We start from the raw sequence: 10,006 nt of genomic DNA on the forward strand, positions 1-10,006 counted from the left end.
TACACTGTTGGTGGGAATGTCAATTAGTACAAGCACTATGGAGAACAGTTTGGAGTTTCCTCAAAAAACTAAAAATAGAATCACCATATGATCCAGGAATGCCACTGGTAGGTATATACCCAAAAGAAAGGAAATCAGTATACCAAGGAGATATCTGCACTCCCATGTTTATTGCAGCACTATTCACAATAGTCAAGATTTGGAAGCAACCTAAGTGTCCATCAGCGGGTGAATGGATAAAATGTGGTCCGTATACACAATGGAGTACTATTCAGCCATAAAAAACAATGAGATCCTGTTGTTTGCAACAATACAGATGGAACTGGAGGACATTATGTTAAGTGAAATAGGCCAGGCACAACATATTTTCACATATTTGTGGGAGCTGAAAATTAAAATAATTTAACTCATGGAGATAGAGTAGAAGTATGGTTACCAGAGGCTGGGGAGGGTAATGGTGGTTGGGGGACTGGGAAAAATGAGGGTGGTTAATAGCTTCAAAAATATAATTAGATAGAATGAATAAGATCTAGTTGTTTTTGTATTTTTGAGATGGAGTCTCGCTCTGTCACCCAGGCTGGAGTGCAGTGGCACAGTCTCGGCTTACTGCGACCTCTGCCTCCTGGGTTCAAGCAATTCTCCTGCCTCAGCCTCCTGAGTAGCCGGGACTAGAAGTGTGCACCACCACACCCAGCTAATTTTTGTACTTTTGGTGCAGATGGGGTTTCACCGTGTTGGCCGGGCTTGTCTCGAACTCCTGACCTCAAGTGATCCACCTTCCTCGGCCTCCCAAAGTGCTGGGATTACAGGCATGAGCCAGAGAGCCCAGCCAAGATCTAGTTTTTGATAGCACAACAGGGTGACTACAGTCAACAATAACTTACTGTACATTTAAAAATAACTAAAATAGTATAATTGGATTGTTTGTAACACAAAGAAATGATAAATGCTTGAGGTGATGGATACCCCATTTACCCTCATGTGATTATTATACATTGTGTACCTGTATCAAAATATCTCATGTGCGCCATAAATATATATATACCTTTCCCTTTTTTTTTTTTTTTTGAGACAGAGGCTTGCTTTGTCGCCCAGGCTGGAGTGTGGTGGTGCGATCTCTGCTTACTACAACCTCTGCCTCCTGGGTTCAAGCAATTCTCCTGCCACAGCCTCCCAAGTAGCTGGGATTACAGGCGTCTGCCAGCACACCTGGCTCATTTTTGTATTTTTGGTAGAGATAGGGTTTCACCATGTTGGCCAGGCTGGTCTCAAACTCCTGACCTCAGGTGATCCGCGCGCCTTGACCTCCCAAAGTGCTTGGGGTTACAGGCGCGAGCCACCCTGCCTGGCCACCATTTAGATTTTAAATGTTTGTTTTAGTTTTTTTCTGTTTGTTAGTTATATATCATTATTTAAAGTGGTTTTATGATAATTGATCATACTTAATATGATATTTCTGTGTTATCTCTGGCCATTTTGCTATGCCAAAACAATGTCAGATGACTTGAATATGTCTTATAAGCATTCAGCCATGCTTGGTAATTTTGGAAACTAGTTTTTAGCCAATGGAGTGACTGAATTTCAAGTCTAATGGTGGTGTGTAATTGGTACACATTGAGCTTCAGCCTGCTGTTTGTTTCAGTCACCCCAGACTATGTCCCTCCTCTTGGAAACTTTGATGTGGAAACTTTAGATATAACACCTCATACTGTTACTGCTATTTCAGCAAAAATCAGAAAGAAAGGAAAAATAGGTAAGTATGTTCTTTTCCTCTTGTCTTGTGTCTCTAAATAAGCTTCATTGAATTAACCTAAAAGTTATGTGTATCATGGCATCAGTAATTGGAACAATTGTATAACTGAACTCTTCCTTTATTAGATTTATAAATATACTGTAATTTAGGGTTATAAAATTACCTCTTCTACCTCTAGGCAGTTTCCAACAGGTTGTTTTCTGAGGGCAATGATATTTGGCAAACATGATTATTAATTACTTGAGTCACTTTTCTCTTTTTAATATAAAAGAAAGGAAACAAAAAACAGATGGCAGCAAGACATCCTCCTCTGACACACTTTCAGAAGAGAAAAATTCAGAATGTGACCCTACGCCATCTCATAGAGGCCAGCTAAACAAGGTATTGGAATGATGGGTATCCGTGAAGGTTTGTGACATCCCAGTGAGATTAACAGAAACCCAGCTTTATTCTCGGCATTTTACAAAGAAAAAAAAATTAGGAAACAGCGAGCCAAAACTCTCTTAGGCGTTGGAGTAATCTCCTTAGTAGCAAAGTTCAGATTAGACTTCAGGTCCTTATTCCTGCCACACACTGTTGACTGTTTTTTCTAATTATTTTCTTGACTGTTTTACTCCCTTTTTTGTACCCCAGCAGTACATTGAATTCTCTCTTGAGGTACTTGATTATCAGTAGTTCCCTTTTACTTTACATTTGTACTGTTCGTAGAATGAGTTTCATGTGTTTGAAATTGCCTGGGCCACATGGATCCCAATTATTTCTGTTGATCAGCCACCATTTATTGTATATTTATTAGGTATAGTTTCTGTAAGAGCCCAAGTTTCATATTAATACCACATTTAATAAAGGAGGAAACTAAGATCCAGGGAGGGCAAGTGACTTGCCCAAAGTCACACAGTTAATAAATGCTGGAGCTGGGGTTTGAAGCCAGATCATTCTGGCCCCTAAGCTCACAGTTTTTTGTTTTTTGTTTTTTGTTTTTGAGATGGAGTCTCACTCTGTCACCCAGGCTGGAGTGCAGTGGCACGATCTTGGCTCACTGCAACCTCCACCTCCCGGGTTCAAGCGATTCTCCTGCCTCAGCCTCCCAAGTAGCTGGGATTACAGGTATGCACCACCATAGCCAGCTAATTTTTGTATTTTTAGTAGAGACGGGGTTTCACCATCTTGGCCAGGCAGGTCTCAAACTCCTGACCTCGTGATCCACCCACGTCAGCCTCCCAAAGTCCTGGGATTACAGGCATGAACCACCACACCTGGCCAGCTCACAGTTTTCTGTACTAGACCTAAATGCCTTGATTTGCCTAATAGATCATCCCTAAATAGATGACCTGTTAAGGGTCTTGATGTGTGACTTGTATCCCCATCTTAAATTAGGTGCTCTGTCTTGGGAATATTTAGGGACTTGGGCTAGAGGAAGTTGTTATTATAATGAAAATGTAATTTTTTGCATTAAATAAATGCATATTTGTACTTTGAAGTTTTTATTAAAATTCGATTAATATAGAAGATTTATATATTCTCTTTGTTGCTGTGACTTCCCCATAGGAGTTCACAGGGAAGGAAGAAAAGACATCATTGTTACTACATAATTCCCATGCTTTTTTCCGAGAGCTGGACATTGAGGTCTTCTCTATTCTACATTGTGGACTTGTGACGAAGTTCATCTTAGATACTGAAATGCACACTGAAGTAAGTGACAGGCTAGGATCTCAGAATTTAATCTTCTTTCAGAAAGTTCCTCAGGTCTATTCTTATTTCACAAAGAACACTGTGACACTGAGGAGAGAAGTTAGACTGACTTTTAAAGCCTTTATATGTGAAAGCAATGATGAATAATCATCCTCATACTGGTGTTTGTAAGTCATAAGGTTTGTAATAATGTGTCAGACATTATAAAATATCATGCCAATGATGTAATCCTTACATTTAGGTTACTACTACTACTACTACTAATAAGCTACCTAGATTATTTTTGTAGAGGAGCACTCTTCTGGTTCTTAGAAGTCAATGCCCTTTTCACTTTTTCACAACATTTGTTCAGCACCTGACAGTTGCTTACTGAGTCCTATTTTGTGTTTGCCACTAATCAAAGCACTTGCATTTCAGTAGTACATAGAGCATCATGCTTGCTTTCAAATAACTTCTAATCTAATCAAAGAAGTGGAAATAGCTAGCAATACGGTAGCTTTATTATTATTATTTTCTTTTTTTTTTTTGAGATGGAGTCTCTCTCTGTCGCCCAGGCTGGAGTGCAGTGGCGCGGATCTCCACTCACTGCAAGCTCTGCCTCCCGGGTTCACGCCATTCTGCTGCCTCAGCCTCCTGAGTAGCTGGGGCTATAGGCATCCGCCATCACACCCGGCTAATTTTTTGTACATTTTTTATAGAGACAGGGTTTCACCATGTTAGCCAGGATGGTCTCGATCTCCTGACCTCGTGATCACCCGCCTTGGCCTCCCAAAGTGCTGGGATTACAGGCGCAAGCCCCCGTGCCCGGCCCCATAGCTTTATTGATGCCAAATACGGCATTAATGGTCTGAACCAAGGACTAGTGAAACTCTAGTGAGAGAATGATGTTTATATAGAAGTTGGGAGTAGAGGACATTTTCACAGATAAAGTAACTTTTGAGATGGGATTTCATCAGAGAGTAGAATTTCTCTAGGTTTAAGAGAAATTGAAATAGCATTAATTTTCACCTGAAATTTACACGAATGTAGGTACCTTCAGAACAGAAATAGTATCCTTTTTTTTTTTTTTTTTTTTGAGATGGAGTCTCGCTGCGTTGCACAGGCTGGAGTGCGGTGGTGGGATCTTGGCTCACTGCAAGCTCCGCCTCCCGGGTTCACACCATTATCCTGCCTCAGCCTCCCAAGTAGCTGGGACTACAGGTGCCTGCCACCATGCCTGGCTAATTTTTTGTATTTTTAATAGAGACGAGGTTTCACCGTTGTTAGCCAGGATGGTCTCGATCTCCTGACCTCGTGATCCGCCCGCCTTGGCCTCCCAAAGTGTTGGGATTACAGGTGTGAGCCACTGCGCCCAGCCATATCTTTTTTTTTTTTTTTTAATCTTTCTACATCATCTTGCCCTTAGGAGATGCCACATAAATGTGTATTGAGTGAGCAGTTTGCAGTGAGACTGTATTTCACCCATTCTGCTTCTAGCAGTGTAATATAGCTATTCCACTGGGATCACTCTGGGGTCCTGCCCAGAGTTAATAGTAGCAAAACATTAGAGGAAAACAAGTATGAAAGGATTATTTAATGAACAGACAAAAGGGAAATTCCCTTGAATTAGTCTTTTTTTTTTTTCCCAAACCCTGTGTGTGGCATTCAAAGTCATTTTTTAAATCACAGGATATTTAGGAAACGCATCTTGGATCCACAACTAGAAAGGTATACAGAGGAATTTATAGAGAAAAAGTATGTCTTCTAAACTATCCTGTCTTGAATTATTATTTTACTATTCTGAATATTTATTTTGGACATGCTTGACTTTATTATATGACAGAGCATAATAGCTATCCTTTATATGAGATGGGTGCAGTTTCCTCCCTTGCCTCTTTTTTCTTTTTAGAGACAGAGTCTTGCTCTGTCACCCAGGCTGAAGTGCAGTGGCAAGATCATAGCTCACTGCAACCTTGAACTCCTGGGTTCAAGGATCAAGTGATCCTCCCACCTCAGCCTTCCAAGTATCTAGGGCCACTGGCATGCCCCACTACACCCGGCTAGTTTTTTTATTTGTTTGTTTGTTTGTTGGAGACGGAGTCTTGCTCTGTCCGTCAGTCTGGAGTGCAGTGGCACGATCTTGGCTTACTGCAGCCTCTGCCTCCTGAGCTCAAGTGATTCTTCTGCCTCCTGAGCTCAAGCGATTCTTCTGCCTCAGCCTCCCAAGCAGCTGGGATTACAGGTGCCCACCACCACATCAGCTAATTTTTGTATTTTTAGTAGAGATGGGATTTCACCACATTGGCCAGGCTGGTCTCAGACTCCTGACCTCAAATGATCTGCCTGCCTTGACCTCCCAAAGTACTGGGAGTTTGAGACCAGCCTGGGTAACACAGTGAGACCTGTCTCTACAAAAAGTTAAAAAAAAAAAGTAGCCAGGCATGGTGACGCACACCTGTGATCCCAGCTACCTGGGCGGCTGAGGTGGGACCATCACTTGAGTCCAGGAGGTTGAGGCTGCAGTGAGCTGTGAACACAATATTGCACTCCAGCCTGAGCAACAGAGCGAGACCCTGTCTCAAATATAAGTAAATAAATAAATAAAAGTCAAATTATTTACCCTGCTGGGCGCAGTGGCTCACGCCTCTAATCACAGCACTTTGGGAGGCTGAGACAGGCGTTATCACCTGAGGTCGGGTTTGAGACTAGCCTGGCCAACGTGATGAAACCCATTTCTACTAAAAATACAAAAATTAGTCAGGCATGGTGGTGGGCACCTGTAATGCCAGCTACTTGGGAGGCTGAGGCAGGAGAATTGCTTGAACCTGGGACGCAGAGGTTGTAGTGAGCCAAGATCATGCCACTGCCCTCCAGCCTGGGTGACGGAACAAGACTCTGTCTCAAAAAAAAAATTTTTTTTTCACCCATTGGGAAGTATTAACATGAAATAGCCAGGTGTGGTGGCTCATGCCTGTCCATAATCCCAATACCTTGGGAGGCCAAGGCAGGAGGATTGCTCAAGCCCAGGAGTTTGAAACCAGCCTGGGCAACAAAGTGAGACCCCGTCTGTATAAAAAAATTTAAAAATTCGCTGGGCCCAGGTGTGGTGGTTCATACCTGTAATCCTGGCATATTGGGAGGCCAAGGCAGAAGGATCATCTGAGCCCAGGAGTTTGAGACCAGCTTGGGCAATATAGTGAGACCTCATTTCTTATTAATTAAAAAAAAAAATGTAGCTGGGCATGGTTGTGTGTGCCTATAGTCCCCGCTACTCGGGAGGCTGAGATGGGAGGATAACTTGGGCCCAGGAGTTCAAGGCTGGAATAGCTATGATCTTGCCACTGCACATTTAACAAAAAAGAAAGAAAAAAAATTATCATGAAATGACTAGGACATTCCTGGAACTAATCCTTTCCTCCATGTGACAGGCTACAGAAGTTGTGCAACTTGGGCCCCCTGAGCTGCTTTTCTTGCTGGAAGATCTCTCCCAGAAGCTGGAGAGTATGCTGACACCTCCTATTGCCAGGAGAGTCCCCTTTCTCAAGGTTAGTGTAGGCAGAAGCATAGGACTTGGGCATAGTGGATTTGGGAACAAAGGAGGTATTATGATGAAAAAGTTGTCACTTTCTTTGGCATTGTGTTTGGGTCACTGGGTAGCATGGGTGCAGCCGTATTGCCAGACAATATTCATCTTGCTTTATTTATTTATTTATTTATTTAGAGATGGAGTCTCGCTCTGTCGCCCAGGCTGGAGTGCAGTGGTGTGATCTCGGCTCACTGCAAGCTCCGCCTCCCGGGTTCATGTCATTCTCCTGCCTCAGCCTCCCGAGTAGCTGGGACTACAGGTGCCTGCCACCACGCCTGGCTAATTTTTTGTATTTTTTGTAGAGACGGGGTTTCACCGTGTTAGCCAGGATGGTCTCAATCTCCTGACCTTGTGATCCGCCCACCTTGGCCTCCCAAAGTGCTGGGATTACGGGCATGAGCCACCGCGCCCGGCCTCATCTTGCTTTAAATAGGAAGTCTGAAGGCTGGGCGTGGTGGCTCACGCCTGTAATGCCAGCACTTTGGGAGGCCAAGGAGGGCAGATCACTTGAGTTCAGGAGTTCAAGACCAGCCTGGCCAACATGGTGAAACCCCATCTCTACTAAAAATACAAAAAGAACTAGCCGGGCATGGTGGTGCAGCTATAGTTCCAGCTACTTGGGAGGCTGAGGCATGGGGAGGAGGAGGTTGCAGTGAGCTGAGATTGCACCAGTGCACTCCAGTCTGGGTGACAGATTTCGTCTCAAACAAAAAAAAAAGTCTACCTGTGCAGTGGTTCACACCTGTAATTCCAGCACGTTGGAAGGCCGAGGCAGGTGGATCACCTGAGGTCAGGAGTTTGAGACCAGCCTGGCCAACGTGGCAAGAGCCTGTCTCTACTAAAAATACAAAAAAAATTAGCCAGGTATGGTGGCGCATGCTTGTAGTCCCAGGTACTTGGGAGGCTGAGGCAGAAGACTTGATTGAACCCAGGAGGCAGACGCTGCAGTGAACCAAGATCATGCTACTGCACTCCAGCCTGGGCATTAGAACAAGACTCTGTCTCAGAAATAAAAAAAAAAAAATAGGAAGTCTGAAACAGAAAATAGAAAGGCACTTGGAATAAGAAATGTATTTCTTTTTTTGAGACGGAGTCTCGCTGTGTCTCCCAGGCTGGAGTGCAGTGGTGCAATCTCGGCTCACTGCAGCCTCTGCCTCCTGGGTTCAAGCGATTCTCCTGCTGCAGCCTCCTGAGTAGCTGGGGACTACAGGCGCGCGCCACCACACCCAGCTAATTTTTGTATTTTTAGTAGAGATGGGGTTTTAACATGTTCATCAGGCTGATCTCGAACTCCTGACCTCATGATCCGCCCACCTCGGCCTCCCAATCCGCCCACCTCGGCCTCCCAAAGTGCTGGGATTATAGGCGTGAGCACTGCGCCCAGCCTACGAAATGTATTTCTAAATGCCCTGAACATTCCTGAATCCTGTTCTTTACTTGAATTTTGGTTTCAACAGCCTCCCAAACCAAGCCTGGGCCCATGCCTCAGTGTAGTAGTAAGCTGTCTAGAACGTCCAGAACTTCAGATGTGTATACAGTGTACAAACGTGCACCTAGCATCCGGGGAAGCAGTTGGACGGTACATATAACAAAATGAGAAAATCTTGGGTCTTGGGTATAAGCATTTAAACATTAATATATCCCGTTTCTTGGTTTCTTGATTCATTTTTCTTCTTCGTCTTCTTTTTTTTTTTTGAGGCGGAGTCTTGCTTTGTTGCCAGGCTGGAGTGCAGTGGCTTGATCTTGGCTCACTGCAACTTCCGCCTCCTGGGTTCAAGCGATTCTCCTGCCTCAGCCTCCCGAGGAGCTGGGACTACAGGTGCACGCCACCACACCCAGCTAATTTTTGTATTTTTAGTAAAGATGGGGTTTCACCATGTTGGCCAGGATTGTCTTGATCTCTTGACCTCATGATCCACCCGCCTTGGCCTCCCAAAGTGCTAGGATTACAGGCAAGAGCTACAGTGCCCAGCAATTCATTCTTCTTTGTATTCACTATCGGGTCTACTTTTTGAGACAGGGCTTTGCTCTGTTGCCCAGGCTGGAGTGTAGTGGCACAATCTTGGCTCACTGCAACCTCCACCTCCGGGATTCAAGTAATCCTCCTATCTCAGCCTCCTGAGTAGCTAGGACCACAGGCATGTGCCACCGCACTCAGCTAATTTTTGTATTTTTTGTAAAGAAGAGTTTCAGCATGTTGCCCAGGCTTCTACATTTTTTTGTTTGTTTGTTTTTCAATTATAATAGGGAGGCAGGGCACAGTGGCTCACGCCTTTAACCCCAACACTTTGGGAGTCCAAGATGGGTGGATTGCTTGAGCTCAGGAGTTTGAGACCAGCCTGGTTAATGTGGTTAAACCCCATCTCTATAAAAAATACAAAAACTAGCCATGTTTGTTGGCATGTGCCTGTGGTCTCAGATACTCAGGAGGCTGAGGTGAGAGGATCACTTGAGCCCAGGAATTCAAGGCTGCAGTGAGCTGTGATCGTGCCACTGCACTCCAGCCTGGGTGACAGAGCAGAACCTTGCCTCAAAAAAAAAATTATAAGAAGGAGTCTATTGCCCTACATTTGTCAACCTAAATGATTTCTACTTTTATGTGACCTTTATCTGATTAGTTATGATAGGGCTATATGTCTCAATCAAACACTGTTCCTACTCTACAAAAGCCAATCTCTCAGTCATTGGAAGATGGAGCAAGATTTTTATCCCTCTGTCAGAATACAGTCTTAGGTTAACAACTCATTTCTCCCATCTGCTCCTACCTGGTGACACAGGTTTGACTTGACTCCATTGCGAACCCTTAGTTTCTGAGACGCTATCCAGCAGTTTCTTCACTCATAACTCTGCATTTATTATAGAACAAAGGAAGCCGGAATATTGGATTCTCACATCTCCAACAGAGATCTGCCCAAGAAATTGTTCATTGTGTTTTTCAACTGCTGACCCCAATGTGTAACCACCTGGAGAACATTCACAACTATTTTCAGGTCAGA

The 10,006-nt window shown here is 44.0% G+C and overlaps 1 protein-coding gene across 5 annotated transcripts in view, besides 3 other annotated features; it reads left to right on the plus strand.

The window, feature by feature from the left end:
• Positions 1-7,425: part of a biological region, named in NCBI's record as "3p25 FANCD2 Alu-mediated recombination region", that runs on past the window's edge. NCBI's record gives its function as "recombination_partner: LOC107303341 | LOC107303342".
• FANCD2 (FA complementation group D2) overlaps positions 1-10,006 on the plus strand; it is a 75,496-nt gene that overhangs the window by 44,792 nt on the left and 20,698 nt on the right. For all 5 annotated transcript variants that reach the window (NM_001319984.2, NM_001018115.3, NM_001374253.1 and 2 more), the window contains 5 exons: positions 1,643-1,753; positions 2,025-2,134; positions 3,302-3,445; positions 6,853-6,969; positions 9,872-10,000. In NM_001319984.2, coding sequence (NP_001306913.1) covers positions 1,643-1,753; positions 2,025-2,134; positions 3,302-3,445; positions 6,853-6,969; positions 9,872-10,000 — 611 coding nt within the window. The remainder of the gene's footprint in view (positions 1-1,642; positions 1,754-2,024; positions 2,135-3,301; positions 3,446-6,852; positions 6,970-9,871; positions 10,001-10,006) is intronic.
• Positions 7,121-7,425: a mobile genetic element, noted in NCBI's record as "direction; reverse".
• Positions 7,259-7,274: a non allelic homologous recombination region, noted in NCBI's record as "AluY recombination sub-region b, recombines with the AluY recombination sub-region d within the 3p25 IRAK2 Alu-mediated recombination region". NCBI's record gives the evidence for it as "EXISTENCE:nucleotide sequencing assay evidence [ECO:0000219][PMID:19280651]".

Source organism: Homo sapiens, chromosome 3, assembly GCF_000001405.40.
Source record: "Homo sapiens chromosome 3, GRCh38.p14 Primary Assembly".
NCBI lineage: Eukaryota > Metazoa > Chordata > Mammalia > Primates > Hominidae > Homo > Homo sapiens.